Source organism: Homo sapiens, chromosome 17, assembly GCF_000001405.40.
Source record: "Homo sapiens chromosome 17, GRCh38.p14 Primary Assembly".
Taxonomy (NCBI): Eukaryota; Metazoa; Chordata; class Mammalia; order Primates; family Hominidae; genus Homo; species Homo sapiens.
Genome location: NC_000017.11, coordinates 913,151 through 936,963, shown reverse-complemented (window position 1 = coordinate 936,963; position 23,813 = coordinate 913,151). Strand labels below are relative to the sequence as shown.

The 23,813-nt window shown below is 50.2% G+C and overlaps 1 protein-coding gene across 3 annotated transcripts in view, besides 4 other annotated features; it reads left to right on the top strand.

Annotated features, from left to right (window-relative positions):
• NXN (nucleoredoxin) overlaps positions 1-23,813 on the top strand; it is a 180,467-nt gene that overhangs the window by 42,813 nt on the left and 113,841 nt on the right. The window lies entirely within an intron of this gene.
• Positions 8,945-9,835: an enhancer, noted in NCBI's record as "H3K27ac-H3K4me1 hESC enhancer chr17:830369-831259 (GRCh37/hg19 assembly coordinates)". NCBI's record gives its function as "activates a minimal SCP1, AML or CMV promoter by ChIP-STARR-seq in naive H9 embryonic stem cells {active_cell/tissue: H9 hESC(naive)}" and the evidence as "EXISTENCE:reporter gene assay evidence [ECO:0000049][PMID:30033119]".
• Positions 12,014-12,569: an enhancer, noted in NCBI's record as "NANOG-H3K27ac-H3K4me1 hESC enhancer chr17:827635-828190 (GRCh37/hg19 assembly coordinates)". NCBI's record gives its function as "activates a minimal SCP1, AML or CMV promoter by ChIP-STARR-seq in primed H9 embryonic stem cells {active_cell/tissue: H9 hESC(primed)}" and the evidence as "EXISTENCE:reporter gene assay evidence [ECO:0000049][PMID:30033119]".
• Positions 12,570-13,126: an enhancer, noted in NCBI's record as "H3K4me1 hESC enhancer chr17:827078-827634 (GRCh37/hg19 assembly coordinates)". NCBI's record gives its function as "activates a minimal SCP1, AML or CMV promoter by ChIP-STARR-seq in primed H9 embryonic stem cells {active_cell/tissue: H9 hESC(primed)}" and the evidence as "EXISTENCE:reporter gene assay evidence [ECO:0000049][PMID:30033119]".
• Positions 17,918-18,435: an enhancer, noted in NCBI's record as "H3K4me1 hESC enhancer chr17:821769-822286 (GRCh37/hg19 assembly coordinates)". NCBI's record gives its function as "activates a minimal SCP1, AML or CMV promoter by ChIP-STARR-seq in primed H9 embryonic stem cells {active_cell/tissue: H9 hESC(primed)}" and the evidence as "EXISTENCE:reporter gene assay evidence [ECO:0000049][PMID:30033119]".

Sequence of the window (23,813 nt, the reverse complement as noted above, 5' to 3'; positions counted from 1 at the left end):
CCCAAAGTGCTGGGATTACAGGCGTGAGCCACCGTACCCGGCCTTTCTGCCTCTTTTCTATCCATAGGTGTTGTGATGGTGAACACAGGCCTGCCTTTTCTGGAACACTCCCAGTTTTATGTCATTTTAACTTTTTCATTAAAGGTGAGCTTATGTGGGGAAGTGTGACTTAACTGTAATACCTCTGTGAAGTATCTCGTATGCGTTTGCAAGTTAGAAAAGAAATCCGTTATAAATCCATGGATTCTGAAAACTGGTACCGCCGACAGCTCTGATGCCCCGTTTTAGCCAGACATCGTAGCACCCTTTTTTTCCCTCACTGTTTGCACAACCAGAATTGGGCACCCCAGACCTGAGGCAGGCCGACACACCTCGCCCTTCTCTCCTGCCCTTCCTCCAAGTCCAGTTTTTCCGCAGCAGAATCCTGCTTTCAGTCACTTTTGGGGACCGGAAGGTGTGGAAGGAGAGAATCATCGAGCTGGGTGGTGGCAGCACGCGGCGTGTGCACTGACAGGATGGGCTTGACCTGGGCAGATGCTGGCCGGGTTGTGTGTGGTGCACACTCACCACCTCACCGTGGACACTCACCAGGGCACCCGTCGCTGCAGTGCCTCAGAGGGAGGGCGGCTCTTCCACCCCACGGGAGAAGAACACAAAGCAAAACCAAAGGCTTTGTCGCAGGGGACGTTTCTGGTCTAACAACAGGAGGTTGCTTCCACCAGGCCCCACAGCATTGAGCCCGATGGCGTGTCTTGAGTCCATAGGTTGAATCGAGTGGCGTGCTGGTGAGAGGGACACACTCCAGCCATCTTTTGGAGGACAATCGATGGAAGCACAAGCAGGAGCTGGAGGTTTTTTTTTTTTTTTTTTTTGAGATGGAATCTTGCCCTGTTGCCCAGGCTGGAGTGCAGTGGCACGATCTTGGCTCGCCGCAACCTCCACCTCCTGGGTTCAAGCGATTCTCCTGCCTCAGCCTCCTGAGTAGCTGGGATTACAAGCATGCACCACCACATCCAGCTAATTTTGTATTTTTAGTAGAGACTGGGTTTCACCATGTTGGTCAGGCTGGTCTTAAACTCCCGACCTCAGGTGATCCACCTGCCTCCACCTCCCAAAGTGCCGGGATTATAGGCGTGAGTCACTGCGCCCGGCCTAGGCTGCAGGTTTTATTCCAGGCAAGGATGTGGCTGGCATGGTATCTAGTGGGATGTTATGAAAGCTGGCTTTGTTCTGCAGGATGGCAACAGTCAATACCCGCATGAATAGCAGGCTCTCCCAGCTCTCAGAGCAAGCTCCTTCTGTGATTCCTGGGCGTGTTCTGCAGAGCTCAGGGTCTTAGACACAGTAGACGCTCAGTAAACACGTGTGGAGTGAATGAGCGCAGAGCTCATTGATCAGAGTGCATGTTTGTTGCAGCCGCCAGCACATCCTAAAGCTGGATCCTGAAGTGTCTTGGTCTTTTCCTACAACCTTGCCAGACCTTTAAGCATCTCCTTGTCCCGCCGGCCATGACCGAGCGGAAGCCTCCCACTTCTCAGTGTTCTTCAGCTGGGGGGTTTCTGGCTGTCACACAGACCACATGATATAGGAGGTGGGGGTTTTGTGCCAGAGGATTCCCAGATACGAAGGAATTGGAGCAGAGTCCTGCGGCTGTTTAAAGAGCACAGCAAGGCCGGGCGCGGTGGCTCACACCTGTAATTCCAGCACTTTGGGAGGCCAAGGTGGGCAGATCACCTGAGGCCAGGAGTTCGAGACCATCCTGGCCAACATGGTAAAACCCTGTCTCTAGTAAAAACACAAAAATTATCTGGGCGTGGTAGTGCATGCACCTGTGATCCCAGCTACTCAGGAGGCTGAGGCAGGAGAATCACTTGAACCTGGGTAGTGGAGGCTGCAGTGAGCCGAGATCACACCACTGCACTCCAGCCTGGGAGACAGGGTGAGAGACCCCATCTCAAAAAACAATAAATAAATAAAAAAAAATAAAGAGCACAGCAAAATGATGCAATAATGAGTGGCAGCAAGTGAGGACTCTGTCCAGACAGTCCGCTTGGGACTGGGCTAAAAGAATGTTCTTTCTTTTCTTTTTTTTGAGATGGCGTCTTCCTGTCACCCAGGCTGTAGTGAAATAGCACGATCTCGGCTCACTGCACCCTCCGCCTCCCGGGTTCAAGCGATTCTCCTGCCTCAGCCTCCCAAGTAGCTGGGATTACAGGTGCGTGCCATCACGACCAGCTAATTTCTGTATTTTTAGTAGAGATGGGGTTTCACCGTGTTGGCCAGGCTGGTCCCGAACTCCTGACCTCAGGTGATCCACCCACCTTGGCCTCCCAAAGTGCTGGGATTACAGGCATGAGCCACTGTGCCTGGCCGAGAATTTGGGTTGGAATTTGGCCAGACTTGGGAATTTCTTGACTGTAAGTCACCAATTCAGCGTCTTTTCCAGAAATGACTTTCTATACTTCTCTTACTTCCAGAAGTAAGTTTTCTTCTTATTGTACTTTTTTTTTTTTTCTTTGAGACAGAGTCTCGTTGTGTTGCCCAGGCTAGAGTGCAGTGGTGCTATCTCGGCTCACTGCAAGCTCCATCTCCCGGGTTCACGCAATTCTCCTGCCTCAGCCTCCCCAGTAGCTGGGACTACAGGTGCCCGCCACCACGCCCGGCTAATTTTTTTGTATTTTTAGTAGAGACAGGGTTTCACCGTGTTAGCCAGGATGGTCTCAATCTCCTGACCTCGTGATCCGCCTGCCTGAGCCTCCCAAAGTGCTGGGATTACAGGCGTGAGCCACCGCGCCCGGCCTCCCGGGGTGCTGGGATTACAGACGTGAGCCACGGCGCCTGGCCTTCTTATTGTACTTTCTAAATTTCCCCATAGTCTGCATGTATGACTTTTATAATCATAAAGTGAAAAATAAAATGCCTTTTTAAAAATTAATTGAAGTTTGAGAACATCGTGTCATTTGTTTTAAATCACATAGTGAGGCATGCCACCCATTTCCCCTCCTGTTTATTTTTCAATTAATAAAAGGCAAGGGATGTTTATGCTTGAGGCTTGAGGACCTTGGCTGCTTGTATTGGAATCCACGACTTTAGTCCAAATTGATAAGTGTTCTGGTATTTGTGGAGGCTTTTTATTTATTTTATAAAAACCAGCTTACACGAAGGCACATTTCTAAAGTTGACCACGTAGGCTTCAGGATAAACAGCTTTCTAGTTAGTGCCTCGTGAATAATACGGATATGGATTTACTGGAGGTGTCTTGAATGTGTTCTTATTGCATTGTTTTAAGTTAGTGGGAGGCCAAGATGAAAGGGGGAATTTCAAGATAAGCTGTGTGAGTCATTTGGTGTTGCGGTGGGGAGTTGAGAGGGATGGAATTTGCCTTGGCATTCACGCAGAGTCCTGGTGCAGAAAGTGTGTATCCAAGCAGAAGGTGGCCTGGGCTTGTCGGAGTCAAGGGGCCCTCATTTTGGCTGGGATTTGGGAAGTGAGCATGTCGTGAGTCTAATATTAGAAAACCAGTTCTTCCCCTTCCCCCACCCCCATCCTGAAAGCTTTTCTGTCCCTGTCGCGATGTGTGCCCGGAGTCTCTCCCGCTCCTGTCTCGAGTGCTTTCTCTGTGAGCATTCATTTAATTTACTTCTTGGCTGCCTATCTTTTTACTAATCAGATTTCCTCCTCTGGCCGAGCTCTTCTCCCAAAGGCCTCAACTTTGTCTTCAGCTGCCTCGCACCAGTTAGGGGGTTCTGTGTTTCAGAGGTGGACGTTGGCTTCTGTAAGTGGTAACTGCAAATCTGGAGTACAGAATCACATCAGATCCACAAGAGTTTTCTGTTCTGTGGTTGGTTGTGTCGTTTCTCGGTCCTCGTGGCCCCAGAATGATCTTGCCTTCTGGAACCTCTCGGGACTTTTTCGCCCACTTGGGAGCTTCGGGCCACAGCCTTTGATGTTAGTGGGAAGGGATATTACAAGTGGTCATGACGACTGAAACTGAGCAGGTTCAAGAGGACGGGCTGGGCTGGGCGCGGTGGCTCACGCCTGGAATCCCAGTACTGAGGGAGGCCGAGGCGGGCGGATCACCTGAGGTCAGGAGTTCGAGACCAGCCTGGCCAACATGGAGAAACCTCATCTCTACTAAAAATATAAAAATTAGCCTGGCGTGGTGGCGGGCGCAGATGACTTATGCGAAGCCGGCCACAACAAGGCACTCCCCACCCACTCAGCTGCTTGTCCGGGGACCACACAGCCCACTCGCTGCCCACTGATGGCAAAAGTCGGTGCCTCTCAGAAGCCTCTTCCGGTGATGGGTCCTTGCTGCTGACCCCACTAGAGCTCACACAGGGCAGGGGCCCAGAACCTGGGGAAACTAGCCCTAGAGATCCTTTAAAATCCAGCCTGTGTTTTCTTAGAAGGGGCTCAGGCCTTCCCCTGAAGCTGCCTTACTCGCTGAGGAGACGACGACTGGACCCAACGCCGCCTCAGAGTTTTGTTTTGCTGAAGACCTGCGGTTTCCAAACTGATGAATAACCAGAAGGACTGGTTAAATGCGGATTCCTGGGCCCCATCCCAGAGTTCTTGACTTGGTAGGTCCAGGCTGGGGCCCAGTAGTTTGCAATTCTAGCAACAGTTCCCAGGCAACCCGGAAGCCGTACGTCCAGGGACCAGAGTTTAAGAACCGCCGCCTAGGACCAAAACAAGGCCGGTTTGGGTTGGTAGCTGGGCAGGTAGACAGACTCTTCAGATCAGCTTTGCCTTAGCTTTTTTTTCCAGGATTCCAAATAATTAAACATTTCTAAAATTGTTCGTTTTGTTTTATTTTTGAGATAGGGTCTTGCTCTATTGCCCAGGCTGGAGTGCAGTGGTGCAATCTCAGCTCACTGCAACCTCCGTCTCCCAGGTTCAAGCGATTCTCCTGCCTCAGCCTCCCCATTAGCTGGGATTATAGGCACCCACCACCACACCTGGCTAATTTTTGTATTCTTAGTAGAGATGGGGTTTCACCGTCTTGGCCAGGCTGGTCTTGATCTACTGGCCTCGAGTGATCCCCCCGCCTCGGCCTCCCAAAGTGCTGGGATTACAGGCGTGAGCCACTGCGCCCGGCCAAAAATTTTTTTTTTTTTTTTTTTTTTGAGACGGAGTCTTACTCTGTCGCCCAGGCTGGAGTGCAGTGGCGTGATCTCAGCTCACTGCAAGCTCCGCCTCCCGGGTTCATGCTATTCTCCTGCCTCAGCCTCCCGAGTAGCTGGGACTACAGGCGCCTGCCACCACGCCCGGCTAATTTTTGTATTTTTAGCAGAGACAGGGTTTCACTGTGTTAGCCGGGATGGTCTCGATCTCCTGACCTCACGATCCGCCCACCTCGGCCTCCCAAAGTGCTGGGATTACAGGTGTGAGCCACTGCGCCCGGCCAAAAATTTTTTTAAAATAAATAACATGTGCTTATGGCGAAAACAAAATCAAGTAGTATACATAGGCTTATTATATGACTTTATCTTTCTTGTTTTTTTTTTTTGAGACAGGGCCTTGCTCTGTCACCAGGCTGGAGTGCAGTGGTGTGATCTCTGCTCACTACAACCTCCGTCTCCCAGGTTTAAGCATTTCTTCTGCCTCAGCCTCTCCAGTAGCTGAGATTACAGGCACACACCACCACACCCAGCTAATTTTTTTTTTTTTTTTTTGGATGGAGTCTCGCTCTGTCGCCCAGGCTGGAGTGCAGTGGCGCGATCTCAGCTCACTGCAGCCTCGACTTGCTAGGCTCAGGCAATTCTCCCACCTCAGCCTCCTGTGTCGTTGGGCCTACAGGCGTGCGACACCACACCCGGCGAACTTCAACATTATGTGTTGGTTTTCTGCTAGGCTAGAGATCGATTTAGCTCCCTTAAAAGCAAACTCACCAGCCGGGTGCGGTGGCTCACGCCTGTAATCCCGGCACTTTGGGAGGCTGAGTCGGGCGGATCATGAGGTCAGGAGTTCGAGACCAGCCTGACCAACATGGTGAAACCCCATCTCTACTAAAAATACAAAATTAGCTGGGCGTGGTGGCTCACACCTGTAGTCCCAGCTACTCAGGAGGCTGAGGCAGGAGAATCACTTGAACCCGGGAGGCAGAGGTTGCAGTGAGCCGAGATCGCACCACTGCACTCCAGCCTGGGCAACCAGAGCGAGATTCTGTCTAAAAAAAAAAAAAAAGCAAACTCAACTTTCTTTGTCCTCTTGGTATACCACCATTTACGGTTTTCCTGGTTACACTTTTAGCATTTAATAACATGTTTATGCCTTTACTCCTTATCCTTCAATAGGACTTTGGGAACGTTGGTGTCTTTCTATCCTGCCCATCAGGTCTCCTGCACTTCCTTCCTATTTTTTGTACCTTTAGCTTTGTCAAGGTTGTTCGTATTTACATTGTGTTGTGTCACCGGGATTCATGCTTTGTGTGTAGTTGAAAATCAGCCAGTCAATCAATAGGGGCATTGTTGTGTCTGTAAATATTGTTTGTGGCAAGTTCAAGTGGTATTTTTTTTTCTTTTTTGAGACGGAATCTCGCTCTGTCACCCAGGCTGGAATGCAATGGCACGATCTCAACTCACTGGCAACCTCCGCCACCCGGCTTCAAGTGATTCTTCTGCCTGAGTCTGCTGAGTAGCTGAGATGACAGATATCCGCCATCACACTGGCTAATTTTTGTATTTTTAGTAAAGATGGGGTTTCACCATCTTGGCCAGGCTGGTTTTGAACTGTTGACCTCACGGTGATCTGCCTGCCTCAGTCTCCCATAGTACTGGGATTACAGGTGTGAGCCACTGCACCCAGCCTGAGTCCCCTTTTTAACTTGGAGAGTCCCCTTTCCTGGGAGTTACCAGTCCTCCTCCATTCCAGACACAGGTGGTTCTCTGGGTCGGCTACACAGCTGTCATTCTGGAACTTTCTTCGGTACTTTCCTGAGTTGGATTTTATTCTAACCCCCGTCATTGATTGATTCCAAAGTTTTTTTTTTTTTTCTGTAGTTCAGATACCAGTTAGATGTGTTACCAAGGAGATCTTAAAGAGCAAACTGCATTTTCGAGAGCAGAGCTTTAAAATTTAGTATGTGAGTTCAACAGGTTACGTGTAAATGGGAATCAGCTGTCTTTGGATTAAACACTACTACACAGTTTTTTTTAAGAAGATTAAAAACGGAAGTGAAGCAAGGATTCCAAACGCTCTTTCCAGAGCAGCCCAGCTGCTTTGCAACCTGGACTTGAGCCTCCTCCGGTTGGGTCAGTCTGGAATCAGAGCCGCCTCCAGGGATTGAGGGATGCGTGGTAGGTATGGTGGGAAATGCTAAGCTAAGGTTGAACCCAAGTCCTGAGTTGAAATCCCGGTTTTAGTTCCTGTTAGCTGGTTGATCGCCCTTCTATTTTGGACAATAAGCCCAGCCTTCCTGGAATATTGGGAAGGTTAAATAAACCAGAGGGTAGGGGGGCACACTGGAAAACTGGGATGTTCTTCACAGACAGGTTGTCATTGTGAAGCTGTGAGATCAGATGTTGGATCTTGCTACAGGAGCTAAACCTGCAAAAGCTGTAAGTGAAGACCGAGCTGGAGTTTCGTGCACAGTCAAAACGTGTAGCCAATTGGACATATTTAATAACGTGAACCAGTGTTTTCCTGCAGGACTCACCAACTCAAATGCCAGTAGAGGGCCAGGCAGGTGAAGCGAGTGGCCTGGGCCAGGTGGTGGGGGACAGAGTGGAGGGCCGCAGCCAGCCCTCGGGGAAAGCCGGCGCTCACCTCCAGCTGCCTGTTGCCGTAATGAAGGCCGACGTTGCCAGCTCTTCTGATTTTTCAAGCTAACAAACTGGGTTTTTATGTGAAGCTAGTTAAGTTTTACATGCTGTTAGCCAGTTAAAATTTTTCTTGACATTGGGCAAAGCCAAACAAAGCACATATGCCATTCACTAATTTAAGGCCTCGGCTTTACTCTGTGGGAATTAAGTGTGAATTGCAAACAGTTCCTAAAAGTTATGATGTGTATTGCATTTATACAGCTGATTACGCGTTTAGGCCATTTGCTCATCTGCTAGTCTTCTTGATATCTGCACATGTGAGCGGTATTCTCCAGTATCTTTTATTTCCTTAATTATTTTTTGAGACAGAGTCTCACTCTGTCACCCAGGCTGGAGCGCAGTGGCATGATCTCGGCTCACTGCAAACTCCGCCTCCCGGGTTCAAGCGATTCTCCCTCCTCAGCCTCCCGAGTAGCTGGGATTACAGGTGCCCACCACCACGCCCGGCTAATTTTTGTATTTTTAGTAGAGATGGGCTTTCACCATGTTGTCTAGGCTGGTCTCAAACTCCTGACCTCAGGTGATCAGCTTGTCTCCGCTTCCCAAAGTATTGGGATTACAGGCGTGAGCCACCGCGCCCAACCTTCCAGTACTTTTTCAAGGGAATTAAGGATAATGTTGAGATGAGCACAGCCAGAATGGATCTTTTTAGAACACAGTGAGAAACTTCCCTCTAGGTTAATGGTATTCATCCACTAATCCAAGCTTCAGGGGTGTGGTGGTTGGCCAGTTACCAGTTCACATTATCCAGCCTGTGGATCTATGTTGTCCACAAGGATTCCATAGGAAATCTCACCGAATGCTTTTCTGATGAAGTCAGATGTGCTTGGCAGAGCACGTTACCCAAACTGCCACTCTTTGGAATGAGATGTGAAGTTAGCTGGGTGTCGCTTTTTAAAGAGGTGGTGCTGTGGCTGAGACCCCCGCTGCCTGGACTCTGTGCTCTTGAGACCCCCACTTTGCAGACTGCTCATACATCAGCTTTCCTAGTGACGCATGCTTATGGCACTTTCTTTGCAAAACACCTTCGTCTGCATTCTCATTAGTCCCTTACCACAACCCTGTGAATTAAGTAACTCCTCCAGATTCTTGGCCAGAGTCCTCTTCAAGTTTACAATCTGTGGTTTCCCTTTATCTAGGATGTTTATCCTCGCCTCTCTTTGCTAATGACCACCAGCCCAGATTCTCAGAGAGGTTGACTTTGTTAACACAAGCAGCTGGGGTTGGTGAGAGTCCAGGTGGTATAAGGAACATCACGTGCAGACTCAGTAATTAAAGAAAAGCTGGTGAGGGGGCGAGTGGGCACGGCTGTCTCTAGGAGTTCTTTTGAAATGGGCTTCACTTCTCCCTCTAAGCCCGTCCCTTTTGTTCTCTGCCTCTGAGAGCCAGTGCTGTCTGGCTGGTTATGCCGTCTCCCACGGAGTATGCCTCCTTCTGCTCCTCCCGCAAACCATCGCTGTCTGACTGGTTACGTGGGCCATCTCCCACTGAGCCCGCCTCCTTCTGCTCCTCCTGCAAACCATCCTGGCTACTTTTGCTTTTTTTTTTTTTTTTTTTGAGACAAGGTTTTACTTCCGTCACCCAGGCTGGAGTGCAATGGCGTAATCTTGGCTCACTGCAACCTCCTGCCTCAACCTCCTAAGTAGCTGGGACCACAGGTGTGCACCACCACGCCTGATTATTTTATTTTCTGTGGAGACGGGGTTTCGCCTTGTTGCCGAGGCTGGTCCGGAACTTGTGAGCTCAAGCGATCTGCCTGCCCTGGCCTCCCAAAGTGCTGGGATTCCAGGTGTGAGCCACAGCACCCAGTCCTAATTTTGCTTCTTTTACCTCCCTTTTCTTTTCTTTTTTCTTTTTTTTTGAGATGGAGTCTCTGTCGCCCAGGCTGGAGTGTAGTGGCACAATCTCGGCTCACTGCAACCTCCGCTTCCCAAGTAGCTGGGTCTACAGGCGCCTGCCACCACGCCTGGCTAATTTTTTCTGTTTTTAGTAGAGGCGGGGTTTCACCATGATAGCCAGGATGGTCTCGATCTCCTGACCTCGTGATCCGCCCACCTCGGCCTCCCAAAGTGCTAGGATGACAGGCGTGAGCCACCGCACCTGGCCTTACTTTTGCTTCTCTTACCTCCCTTTTCTATACTCCTTCCAGCCTCCCATTGGATCACTGACTCACCTCCCAGGGTTGTTATGAACAGTTTTCTTGGCTGCATTGGATGGGAGATGGGCAAAAGTGTTTATCCCCAGACTCTTTCATTACCCAGAGCCTTGTTCTACAAATCCCAGGGATGTGTGGGATGGCCAGACACGTTGGCTCACGCCTGGAATCCCAGCTCTTTGGGAGGCCAAGGCGGGCAGATCGCTTGAGCTCAGGAGTTTGAGCAGCTTGGGAACATGACGAAACCCCATCTCTACAAAAAATACAAAAATGAGCCGACGTGGTGGTGCACGCCTGTGGTCTGAGCTACTCGGAACGCTGAAGTGGGAGGATGGTTTTAGCCCGGGAAGCAGAGGCTGTGGTGAGCCGAGATTGCACCACTGCACTCCAGCCTGGGCGATAGAGCCAGACCTTGTCTCAAAAAAAAAACAAAAAAACAAAAAAAAAACAAAAAACATGGGATACTCCTGTTAATAAAGAGAAAAGAGAGGGGAGGAGAGCCGGGCACAGTGGCTCACGCCTGTAATCCTAGCATTGGGAGGCTGAGGCGGGAGGATCGCTTGAGCCCAGGAGTTCGAGACCTGCCTGGGTAACATGACAAGACCCTGTCTTTATAAAAAATAAAAAAATTAGCCGGGTGTAGTGGTGCATGCCTGTAGTCCTAGCTACTTGGAGGGCTGGAGTGGGAGGATTGCTTGAGCCCGGGAGGTTGAGGCTGCAGTGAGCCATTGACGGTGCCACTGCACTACGGCCTGGGTGACAGAGTGAGATCCGTCTCTTGAAAGAGGGAAGGAGGAGAAAAATAGAGACAGAGACGGTAGATACTGAGAATGTGCGGATCTAACATTGTCTTGAATCTTGAGAGCTTTCATCCATCCCAGAGATTCCTGACAGGTCATAATTCTGCTAAGACATAGATTTGCATTGCAGCCCAGCTGCTAACTCTTAAGTCATTAAAACTTTCTTTGTGAAAAATGGCTCTTTTGCAACGAGAATCAGCTGCTACTATTGGTGATATCAGGGAAGAAAAAGCAAAGATTATCTAAAGAAGTGATAGCTCTTAGCCAGAGAAAGGGAGTTTTGGATAAACTAAAGACTGGAATGATGACTTTTTGCTGTGCTGGGAGCAAGCCCACCATGTACTTCTTGGGGAACAGGGACGTTCGTGAGCATTTTAGCAGTTGCTTGAGCCAGGGCAACGTTTGTATGAGTGAGGTGGTTTTAGAGAAAGTTGAATGGGGAGTTGTAGTGAGAGGTGAGACATTAACAGCAGCAACAACCACCACAGATCAGGAGCTGGGCACAGTGGCTCACGCCTGTCATCCCAGCACTTTGGGAGACTGAGGCGGGCGGATCACCTGAGGTCAGGAGTTCAAGACCAGCCTGGCCAACATGGTGAAACCCCGTCTCTACTAAAACTACAAAAACTAGCCAGACATGGTGGCGGGCGCCTGTAATCCCAGCTACTCGGGAGGCTGAGGCAGGAGAATCGCTTGAACCCGGGAGGCGGAGGTTGCAGTGAGCTGAGATCGCGCCATTGCATTACAGCCTGGGTGATAAGAGCAAAACTCTGTCTCAGTCAGTCAATCAGGAAAAAGCCAGAAGCCTCTCCAGCCTCCTCTGTGTTCCTGGGTTTGGGGTTTCTGAAGCTGCCTGGATGTGCTTCTCTGGAATGTTGGGGCCTCCTTGTACCCGTCACTGGACTTGTTCAGGCAGGTGCAGTGTGACCAGCTGTCAAGAGTATTCCTAGGTTTGCTTTCCGGGAGGCGGGAGGCCTCATTCTTGACTTAAGTCTCTGTATCTCCTTTCCACCCCTTCTTTCTTCCTCCCTGTCCTCTCCTTTGGTGCTTCTGCGAGACACCAAAGCCTGAGACAGTCAAACCTGAGACAATCAGCTTTGAACAAGAGATGCAGAGGCTTTTGGTGGCTAGTTCTTACACCTGAATCCGCCGGCTGCTCCCAAGGCCCTGGGCCAAACCTCAAAGCAAATAGTTACTTTTCCTTCCCATCTGACTTGTAAAATCTCTTCTCCCAACCCCCATCCCAAATTGCCACCCAGGCCTGTCTCCAGCTCTGTGTACCTGTACTTCCTGCCTTTACCTGGGCATTCCTTTCTGAGTGATGGGAGTTTCGCAGATGAAAGTAACTTACACCGAAGGTGTGAATGAGGCTTGGTCTTTGAATGTTTGCATTTTAAAACTGAATGAGGCTTGGTGCTGCCAAGGGCTGGGGCTGGGGAGCAGGGGAACGGAACGGAACGGAACGGAGTTAGTCTTTACTGAGGACGGAATTTCAGTTTGGGAAGATGGAAAGTTCTGGAGACAGATGGTGGTGATGGTAGCAGAACAGGAGATGCACCTAATGCTGCAGGACGGTCCACCGGAACACACTTGAAATAGGACATTTTCTGTTATGTATGTTCTATCACAACAACAAATTAAAAATCGGCCGGGCGCAGTGGCTCATCCCTGTAATCCTAGCACTTCGGGAGGCCGAGGTGGGCGGATCACCTGAGGTTGGGAGTTCAAGAGCAGCCTGGCCAACATGGTGAAACCCCATCTCTACTAAAAATACAAAATTAGCCGGACGTAGTGGCTCACGCCTTGCAATCCCACCTACGCGGGGGGCTGAGGCAGGAGAATCGCTTGAACCCAGGAGGTGGAGGTTGCAGTGAGCCGAGATCGCGCCATTGCACTCCAGCCTGGGCAATAAGAGCGAAACTCCATCTCAAAAAATAAATAAATAAGCTGTCCCAAATAAATAAAATAAAAAATTAGTCGGGTTTGGTGATACACACCTGTGGTCCCAGATATGCAGGATGCAGAGGTGGGAAGACCCTTGAGCCCAGAATCGTGCCACTGCACGGCAGCCTGGGCAACAGAGTGAGACCCTGTCTCAAAAAAAAAAAAAAACTTTTTGAGAATTTGAAAAATGTAGAAAAGCACTAGAATATAGGAATCATAAACCTCCCCACTGCTAACATTTTGCACTTTATTTGTATATCTTTCCTTTCTTCTGTAAAATATACTTAAAAAAATACAAAAGTGGGGTTTAACTATATACCTGTCGTTTTGTCGTTTCCACTTAACTATCTCACGAATATTCTCCTCGCTCATCAAATATTACCAAGTGTTTCATCTTCACTCTTGCTTGATGTTTCATCATTCCTGACCCCCGATGAGGTTGTCCTTCTGGTATCAAACGCACTTGTGTCCTATCTGTTTCTTTTATGCTGCTTATCAAAGTTTCTAGTTACATATGTTTTGGGGATATTTGATGTCTGTTTTCTTACAAGAGCGTAAACTCTGTGAGGACCTGTCCCCAATGCTGGACGCAGTGTCCTGCACGTTGCAGGTCTGCAAATAGTGACTATATGGATATGTTGTTGAACATTACATTTTCCAATTTTTGCTTGGATGGGATGGCCTTTATTTTAAAATTAATTAAAAATTTTTGTTTGTTTTTGAGACACGGTCTCGCTGTGTTGCCCAGGCTGGAGTGCAGTGGTGTGATCACAGCTCACTGCAGCCTAGACTTGCTCAAGCAATCCTCCCGTCTCAGCCTCCGGGGTAGCTAGGACTACAGGTATGTGCCAACACACCTGACTAATATAAAATTTTTTTGGTGTAAAGCGGGGTCTTGCTTTAAGTTGGTGCACAAGTAATTGCACCAACGTGGTTATTTTTCTGTGCGAAACACTGGAGTGGCACCCAGGTGGATGTAAACAGAGTGAATAAGACAAGGGCCCTGCCTGGAGATGTTGTAGTAAAAACCTCCTGCCTTGGCCTCCCAAAGTGTCGGGATTCCAGGTGTGAGCCACCGCGCCGTCCAGGTGGTGGTCCCTAAGGCAAAGAGAAGTCCTGAACTCGTGGATAATGCTGTCAAGGAAAGTAAAACAGGAGACAGAGTCCGGGAGAACTTGGGAGGTGAGTAAGTCGAGTTGAAGTGAGAAGTAGGGAGGAGATGAAGACTCTGGGCTCCCAGCTCAGGCCCTGGGAGCCACACACGGCACCTTGTAAGAATGCAGAGTGGGCCGGGCGTGGTGGCTCACGTCTGTAATCCCAGCACTTTGGGAGGCCGAAGGCAGGTGGATCATGAGGTCAGGAGATCGAGACCATCCTGGCTAATACGGTGAAACCCCGTCTCTACTAAAAATACAAAAAGTTAGCCGGGTGTGGTGGCGGGCACCTGTAGTCCCAGCTACTCGGGAGGCCGAGGCAGGAGAATCGCTTGAACCCCGGAGGCAGAGGTTGCAGTGAGCCGAGATCGCACCACTGCACTCCAGCCTGGGCAACTGAGCAAGACTCCGTCTCAAAAACAAAACAAAGAACGCAGAGTGGAGTCCTGGCTGGGCACTTCTCACCTTCTGACGTCTCTCTGGCTCTCAGCCCCAGATTTGAGCACCTCCTGGTTCTGTACCTCAGGCTAACTGGGTCTTTTGTTAAGCTCTTGATTTTGGAATGTACGCTTAGATTTTATTCGTGGCCCCATCCTATTTCCAACTAATGGTTCTCACACTTTTCTTTTTTTCTTTTTTTGAGACGGAGTTTTGCTCTTGTTGCCCAGGCTGGAGTGCAGTGGCACGATCTTGGCTCACCACAACCTCTGCCTCCCGGGTTCAAGTGATTCTCCTACCTCAGTCTCCCGAGTAGAGTAGCTGGGACTACAGGTGCCCGCCACCACACCCAGCTAATTTTTGTATTTTTAGAGATGAGGTTTCACCGTGTTGGCCAGGCTGGTCTCAAACTCCCAGCCTCAAATGATCCACCTGCCTCGGCCTCCCAAAGTGTTAGGATTACAGACGTGAGCCACTGTGCCTGGCCAATTCTTACAGCTTTAAGTCATATCCCTGAATACAGGGCTAACCCGTTTCTGTTGGCCAACAAAGTCACAGTTACCCGCTGAAAAGGGTTTCTTAGAATGAGGCCCTTTGCCCAGTCTACTACCAAAGGGTTGATGTGGGGAGCTGGGTTGACAGCGATGTCTTCAGTCTATATAAGAAATACAGAGGGAGAAGCAGGTTGGAGGAAGGCGGTAACCTCAATTTTAGAAATGTTGAGTTTGAGGTTCCCTTGGGATACAGGTGAGACTGCGGGCAGGTAGAGCCCAGAAGAGATGCCAGTGGCCAATGAGGGAGAGAGCCTGGGCCTGCCAGGTGTTGTCCAGGGGCAGTGAGGATGAGAGCCTGGGCCGGCCAGGTGTTGTCCAGGGGCAGTGAGGATGAGAGCCTGGGCCGGCCAGGTGTTGTCCAGGGGCAGTGAGGATGAGAGCCTGGGCCGGCCAGGTGTTGTCCAGGGGCAGTGAGGATGAGAGCCTGGGCCTGCCAGGTGTTGTCCAGGGGCAGTGAGGATGAGAGCCTGGGCCGGCCAGGTGTTGTCTAGCGTGCTGGAGCAGATGGACTCATCTTCGGGACAGGAGGAGAAAGCCAAGGGTGAAACCATCACCCCCAGCATTCAGGGGCAGGCAGAGGGGCTGGCGTAGGGGACCAAGGACAAGCCACAGATGCAGAGGGGCCAGGAGAGGTGCGGGAAGCGTTTCGAGGAAAAGATGGAAAGCAGCAGTTTCAGGGGGCGCCGTGGACCGGAACAAGATGACGGGTTCCGCTGGGTGTTGTTGGTGGCCCCGCTGAGAGCCGGCTTGTGAGTGCGGAGAGGGAGCCGGGGTAGGAGGAGGCTGTGGTGAGTCAGGGAGCTTGGGGCTGAGCCAGAGGAACATAGAGGTTGCCTGGGGATAAACAGTTACCTTTTGAGTGGTAAAGACTTGACCCTGTAGGTGGAGGAAGAGGAAGGAGTGAGCAGAGGAAGGGGCTCCCCTGTGTGCCAGCCGCTGCTCTGAGGGTGGCTGAACGCCGTCCCGTCTAACTCTCACTACAAAGCTGTGATATAGATGCTCTTCTCTTTATTTTACAAATGAGAAAACTGAGTCACAAAGAGGTTAAGAAACATATAAAGGTCACATAGAGGCTGGGCACGGTGGCTCACACCTGTCATCCAGGACTTTTGGGGGCCAAGGTGGGAGGATCACTTGAGGTCAGGAGTTCAAGACCAGCCTGGCTAACATGGCAAAACCCCGTCTTTACTAAAATTACAAAAATTAGCCGGACATGGTGGCGGGCGCCTGTAATCCCAACTACTCGGGAGGTTGAGGCAAGAGAATCGCTTGAACCCGGGAGGCAGAGGTTGCAGCGAGCCGAGATCCCACCACTGCACTCCAGCCTGGGCAACAGGGCGAGACTCTGTTTCAAAGGAAAAAAAAAAAAAAGGCTTCCTGAACGGTGGAATCTTCCAGGTGATTTTGAGGGCGATTGGCAAGGCGGTATGAATGAAGACCTCATTGAGAACGTCCTGGGTGCTGCCAGTGAGGGTACAGTTGATGAGACCCACCCTGGGCTAGGGCATACGGATGGCGAATGAACCTGGATGAGCGTCGAGGGTTGAGAGCCTGGGAGAACGCTGCAGAGCTGGAGTGAGCTGGTGAGGGCTGGTCACTTGGGGAGGGAGCGGAACCCTGGGAGGAGAACGCTGGAGGAATTGGGATCAGGCAGGCTCGGCATCCCCAAGGCTACATTGGCCTTGGGGCATGACAGGAGGGCCTAGGTATCCCCAGGCGCTCGGGGCTGGGAGGAGAGCCACATGGGCACCTCATCGGCCCCCTTGGCTGAATTTGAACAATCACTTGATGTTGACGTTGCCAGATTCCTCCAGGTCAAAGCGGGAGCCAGGGGCGGGGGGAGATGACAGGAGGCAGCATTGATAAGTTTGTAATGTTGGATTTCGGGGTGTAGACTGGGCGTGATGGCTCGTGCTTGTCATCCCAGCACTTTGGGCGGCTGAGATGGGCTGATCGCTTGAGCCCAGGAGTTCAAGACCAGCCTGGGCAACATGGCGAAACCTTGTCTCCACCAAAAATACAAACATTTGCACCGCGTGGTGGCTCGAAGAGAGTTGGAGGCGGAGGTCCTCACATGGAGGAGGCCGTGGAAGTGGGTAGTTGCTCTGGATGGGTGATGAAGGCACCAAGGGTGCCGGTGGGGGCTGAGGCAGAGAGAGATGGAAGGTACATTTTCCGCCATGGCCTGGGGGTTAGTGAATACCAGTCTGCAAGGTGACAAGAGGGAGGTGTAGCTATGTAGCTAGATGAGGTCGCATACCAGTGTGGTCCGCCAAGATTGAATGATGGAAGGGAGAGCGTTTCCTGGTGTTTTGTGCCGGACCGCTCTGCCCCTAGTTGTATTTTCTGGACTGCGTTCCAATATTATTTTCAGTTGTTGTTCTGGAGCCACGCACTGCCTGGTAAGGGCTGATTGGTGTTGTCTCTGTCTCCCACCTTGAACCAGAGCCCGTGTCTGAGGGCCGCGTGGGACGAATGCGGGGATTCCGAGGACGACGTAGGTTCTGTAACCCACGATACGAGGAGGTGCTGTAGAAAGCCGTTTGACTGCGTCCTCCCAAAACTGCCACTTTAATTTCTGGTTGTGCTGAGATTACAGGGCTTTTTCCTCGTGTTACAATAACACGTTTTCTAGCATCTTAAGGAATGATTGCCCTGCATTGACAGAGTATTGTAATAAAAGCTGTTTAATTGGAATAATCATTCCAGAACCTTTTTTTTGTTTTGTTTTGAGACAGAGTCTCACTCTGTCACCAGGCTGGAGTACAGTGGCACAATCTCGGCTCACTGCAACCTCTGCCTCCCTAGTTCAAGCTATTCTCCTGCTTCAGCCTCCCAAGGAACTGGGACTACAGGTGCCCGCCATGACGCCCGGCTGATTTTTGTATTTGTAGTAGAGACGGGCTTTCACCATGTTAGCCAGGATGGTCTCGATCTCCTGACCTCGTGATCCACCCTCAGCCTCCCAAAGTGCTGGGATTACAGGTGTGAGCCACCGAGCCTGGCTGAAACATTTTTTTTTTTTAAAGCAATAGGGTCTTACTCTGTTGCCCAGGCTGGAGTGCAGTGGTGCAATCATAGCTCACTGCAGCCTCAAACTCCTGGCCTCAAGTGATCCTCCCGCCTCAGCCTCCCGAGTAGCTGGGACTACAGGCGCACGCCACCTTGCCTGGCTGCAGAGACATTTTTAATGAGGAAGGAGGCTGTGGAAACGTAGTTTAACTTACTTTGTTTTCTGAGTCCTTAAATTCACCAAGGATTCAACAAACACCCGCCCCCCCACCCCCGGCCTTTTTTTTTTTTTGAGACTGAGTCTCTGTCTCCCAGGCTGGAGTGCGGTGGCGCGATCTCAGCTCACTGCAGCCTCTGCCTCCCGGGTGCAAGCGATTCTCGTGCCTCAGCCTCCTGAGTAGCTGGGATTACAGCCGCCCACCACCGCGCCTGGATAATTTTTGTATTTTTAGTAGAGACAGGTTTTCATCGTGTTGGCCAGACTGCTCTTGAACTGTTGGCCTCAGGTGATCCGCCCGCCTCGGCCTCACTTTCTGGGATTACAGGCATGAGCCACTGCGCCCGGCCTCAACCAAACCCTTTTTAAGTCAAGAAATTAAGACAAAAAGTAGCTGGAATGAAAGTGAGTGATTGACTCGGGAGCCAAATGGAAATGGGAGTCACGGCCTCCCTGAGCCCAGTTCACGAAGGAGATGAAACGCTGCGATGAAACTCGCTGATGGATCGTGCGCTCCTCCCATTTCCTTCCGACCCTCCCGCCTTTTCCTCCAAACCGAACGTTACAAAGGAAAATAATCTTAATCAAGACCAGACCCCTTTGGGCCCAGGGTTCTGGGGCTGTTTCTGGCACAACGGCCAGGCCCAGCACAGCCTGGTTTGTGATTGTTTGATTACAGGAGGAAAATGCTGTGTTGTTTTGGGGGAGGTGATATTGAGTGTTCTCGTGTTTCTTTTGTCTGTTTTTGGCCCATCTTCTTAGTAGGATCATGTTATGAGTTATTTTCTGGTTTAGACACACAACTTTTAAAACTGAAACTGAGATTTCCTTTATGCTGCAAATACGGAGTGAGTTTTTGTGATGTGCCGGGCCCTGCCGTGAGCCATGTGTCTTCCATAAAGTACGAGCTCAGTAAACATTTTATTATTATCCATTAGGGGTTCTTGTCAACAAAACTGAATACAGACCACATTCTTCTTCACCAGTACGCAGTCCCCTTTGTTTGGAACGGGAGTCCCCCCTCTCCTGTCGCTTATCCCCTTTCCCATCCGCCCTTGTCCCCACCTCTGCGAGGCCTTCCTGGGGAGCGAGAGCCACGCCCGCCTGTTGTGCCAGTACGCGCCCCTTGTAGGGCTGGAACCTGGGGTGTCCGTCTAGGAGGTCGGATTGGGTAGGGAAGCTCGCCTGCAGCGGGTGGCCTACATTGGGTTGAGATGGTGACGTGCGTCTGAGCCACGTCCTTGTGGGAGAGCTGGGAATCGAGCCTGTAGACACCAGTGCTAAGTTCAAAGAGTGGGTGGAGATAAAAAATGGGCGTAGGGTGGGACAGCAGGTCCAGAAGGAAGAGGAGGAGCTGGTGTGGTTTCCACAGACGACAGTGTGGGGCTGCTCTGTGAGTTTAGGTTCATGAGTAAAGATGTGAGCGGCGGCTCCCGCCTGTTCTTTCAGAGGCCCAGCACTTTCAGAGGCCAAGGCAGGCGGATCACGAGGTCAAGAGATTGAGACCAGCCTGGCCAACATGGTGAAACCCCGTCTCTACTAAAAATACAAAAAATTAGCTGGGCATGGTGGCGGGCGCCTGTAGTCCCAGCTGCTCGGGAGGCTGAGGCAGGAGAATCGCTTGAACCCGCGAGGCGGAGGCCACGGCGAGCCGAGGTCGCGCCATTGCACTCCAGCCTGGGCTACAGAAAAAAAAAAAAAAGATGTGAGCTCAGGCGTGGAACACCTCATTCCTTGGTTCACTTAGGAACAGGGAATCTTGTTGGAGGCAAAGCGGATGTTTGATTTGTAGCTTCAGCATGTATAACAGAACAGGACACACAGGGAATGTCTGATAATGTGATTAATGAATGAAGATAAAGACCCACCAAAAATACCCACCTTCAAGGTGGTTTGAAAATTTACAACGAAGAGGTTAGGGTGGTAACTAACCTAGAGGCCTGTTGGTTGCTGTAATTTTTTTTTAGAGATGAAGTTTCTCTCTGTTGCCCAGGCCGGAGTGCAATGGCATAACCTCAGCTCACTGCAACCTCCACCTCCCGGGTTCAAGTGATTCTCCTGCCTCAGCCCCCGAAGTGGCTGGGATTACAGATGTCCGCCACCACACCTGGCTAGTTTTTTGTATTTTTAGTGGAGACCTCAGGTGATCCACCTGCCTCGGCCTCCAAAAGTGCTGGGATTACGGGCGTGAGCCACCGTGCCCGGCCAGCTGCTGTAATTTGTGAGCTTAATGTTAAAATCCTGAGTGCTTTGCAGGGATCCCTGGGATCCCCAAACACTTAAAACTGATTCCTTGGATATTTACAGTAGCTACTGCAGCTGGGGTGCAATTTCACATTTTACCAGGAGGGACTGTCTGAAATCTCCTTCATTTTTAAGTTTTGGAATGTGTTTATATTTATTTTCCTTTTTTTTAGTTTGGTAACTTTGAAATGTCATACGTTAATTTTACGTAAAACAAGGGATTTGACTTTGACTCATTTCCAAAAGGCCCCTTGCAGGGAAAATTGTCTTTTAAATTGTTTTAAATAATCTCATTTTCAGCAGGAAGAAGTAGAAAGGATAAAATGGATCCTGCACCACGGGAACCTCACAGCACCTCACTCCTTGTGGCTTTTCCTGTTTGATACTCTGCTTTCTGAAAGATGCAATTTTCTGCCTCCATTTCTGTTGCCGACGTGCCAGGATTTCTAGCAAAGTGGGCCTAGAGTTTTGCTGGAGGTTACTTTTCCTTGGAAGCAATTCAAATACAATCATCATTCTGTTTCTCCCTTTTCATTCGACATTTGAGTAGAACAATGGCTTGGCAGCCAGACAGGCGCTCTTAAGAGCTTCAGTGTTTTTATCTTTGCCTTTTGAGAAGTGCCTTTACAAAATGTGGTTTAAAATTGAGCCTACAAACAAAAACACAGAACCGATTGCTTGGAGACCAAAACTCTAGGGACAAGGACAAAAGAACTGGGAGAGGGGGAGCAGCTGGAAGTTCCAGCTCTGACACCATAAGTGGCCGCCCATTTTAGGGGAAGTTTCGGCTCTGACACCATAAGTGGCCGCCCATTTTAGGGGAAGTTTCACCTGGAAGCCCCAGCTCTGGCCCCATAAGTGGTCAGGCATTTTAGTGTTGCACTAACTGGTCTCTGCCTTCTTGGTTTATTGCCAAGTTTCCAGCCCTGGGGTATCCTTGTTATTTACTTTCCTCCTGCACCAAAGCTCGGAAGCGTTACACTATGTACTCATTCATTCTCACTTTTACTCCTTTCTTAGAAATAATTTCCTAGAGTCCAGGTGTGGTGTCTTATATCTGTAATCCCAGCACTTTGGGAGGCTGAGGCAGGTTGATTGCCTGAGCCCAAGAGTTTGAGACCAGTCTGGGCAACATGGCAAAACCCAGTCTTTACAAAAAAATACAAAAATTAGCTGGGTGTGATGGCACACTCCCGTAGTCCCAGCTACTTGGGAGGCGGAGGCAGGAGGATTGTCTGAGCCCAGGAGGTGGAGGTTGCAGTGAGCCGAGATGACTCCAGCCTGGGCGACAGAGTGAGACTCTATCTCAGAAAGAAAGAGAGAAAGAATTCCTAGAGGTCATGCTAATCATAATCCCACTTATTCTCAACTATAAAATCCTCAACTGGCCGGGTGCAGTGGCTCACGCCTGTAATCCCAGCACTTTTGGAGGCTGAGGTGGACCTATCACGAGGTCAGAAGTTCGAGGCCAGCCTGGCCAATATGGTGAAACCCCATTTCTACTAAAAATACAAAAAATGAGCTTGGCGTTGTGGCGGGTGCCTGTATTCCCAGCTATTTGGGAGGCTGAGGCAGGAGAATCTCTTGAACCTGGGAGGCAGAAGTTGGAGTGAGCCGAGATCGCACCACTGCACTCCAGCCTGGCGAGCGAGACTTTGTCTAAAAAAAAAAATCAACTCTGAAATTTTTCCAGTACAAGTGTCTGCGATTTCACCCCCTTTAATATTTTAGGAAAACTCATCTCACTTGCTTGCTTTATTTGCCTGTGCTGTTGGTTCCACGCACTCATCAGCTCCTCCAGGGGAAGCCCTGGTTCCCCACATCCAGCTCCGCCTCCTCTACACCCAACAGTCTTGCTTCCCACATCACGGTACGCTCCCTGTTAACTCGCTTGCTGAGTTAATGACCTCACTCAATGGACTGTGGACTCTTTGAAGGTCAGAAGCGAGTCTCTGCTCCTCATCTTTGTCTCCGCCTGGTTCGATGCTCAGCACAAGGTAGCATTTCATACATGTTTGTTGAATTGTGTATATTCCTGTCTCCTCTAGGAACCTTGCTTGCGCTACCAATTACAGACCTCGGTGTTTGCCTTTGACCTTGCCTCTACTGTCTCATTGCATACTTCTCGCCTTAAAAAGAATCTTCCTTCTGGCCGGGCGTGGTAGCTTGTGCCTGTAATACCAGCACTTTGGGAGGCTGTGGCGGGTGGATCACCTGAGGTCAGGAGTTTGAGACCAGCCTGGCCAACACGGTAAAACCCTATTTCTACTAAAAATACAAAAATTAGCTGGGCGTGGTGGCGGGTGCCTGTAATCCCAGCACTTTGGGAGGCTGAGGTAGGCGAGTCACCTGAGGTCAGGAGTGCGAGACCAGCCTGGCCAACGTGGCGAAACCCCATCTCTATTAAAAATACAAAAATTAGCTGGGCGTGGTGGCGGGCGCCTGTAATCCCAGCACTTTGGGAGGCTGAGGTAGGTGAGTCACTTGAGGTTGGGAGTTCGAGAGCAGCCTGGCCAATGTGGCGAAACCCTGTCTCTATTAAAAATACAAAAATTAGCTGGGTGTGGTGGTGGGTGTCTGGAGTCCCAGCTACCCGGGAGGCTGAGGCTGGAGAATCACTTGAACTCAGGAGCCGGAGGTTGCAGTAGGCCAAGATTGTGCCACTGCACTCCAGTCTGGGCGACAGGGCGAGACTCTGTCTCAAAAATAAAAATAAAAATAAATAATAAAATAAAAATCTTCCGCGAGTTTGGGAGGACACGCCGTTATAATGAATGTCCTTGCACTTAAGTAAGTGAGTTTATGCCAGTGTAGATGGAAAGGGCAATTGTTTACACATTTTTTTTCTGCTTCATTTTTGTCTGCTCTTTTACTACAAGGATAAGAAAGAGCAGGTGCCAGGAGAGAAAAGTCATCTGAGAAGGGTCCCGGTCTCTGCATTGCCTGGGGACGTGGGGGTAGGTGGAGAACCTGCCTCTTTATCGGTTCCCGGTCTCTGCATTGCCTGGGGACGTGGGGGTAGGTGGAGAACCTGCCTCCTTATCCTCTTTTCCTTTGGTCTCTGTTGTGCCACGATGTCTCTGGGAAACTGACCGACTCTCCTTTCTCAGCCTGTTGCTCTCTGTCTGTCGTGTTGAGGAGTCTCTGCTGTGGGCAGGGGCCGACATCTTCATCTGTGATCACTTCTGTGTTGAAACAGCTAAGCCAGCGCTAGAGGCAAAAAGGGTTCCCAGACTCTGGAAAACTGACAAGCGAATGGACTTTTCAGACTCCAGGAGAAAATGGGCCATCCTGGGCTGTGGGGGTGCTCTGTGGATGAGTTCTGTCATTTGGGAGCTGGCAGTGGTTTGGTGATCAACTGTTGGCTTTTCCAGATTTTACAAAATCGGGAAGGATTTTTGGTGACTCATGAATTTTCTGTTCAATTTTACTTCTCCTAATAAGAAGTTAGCCTCTATTTATGTTCAGA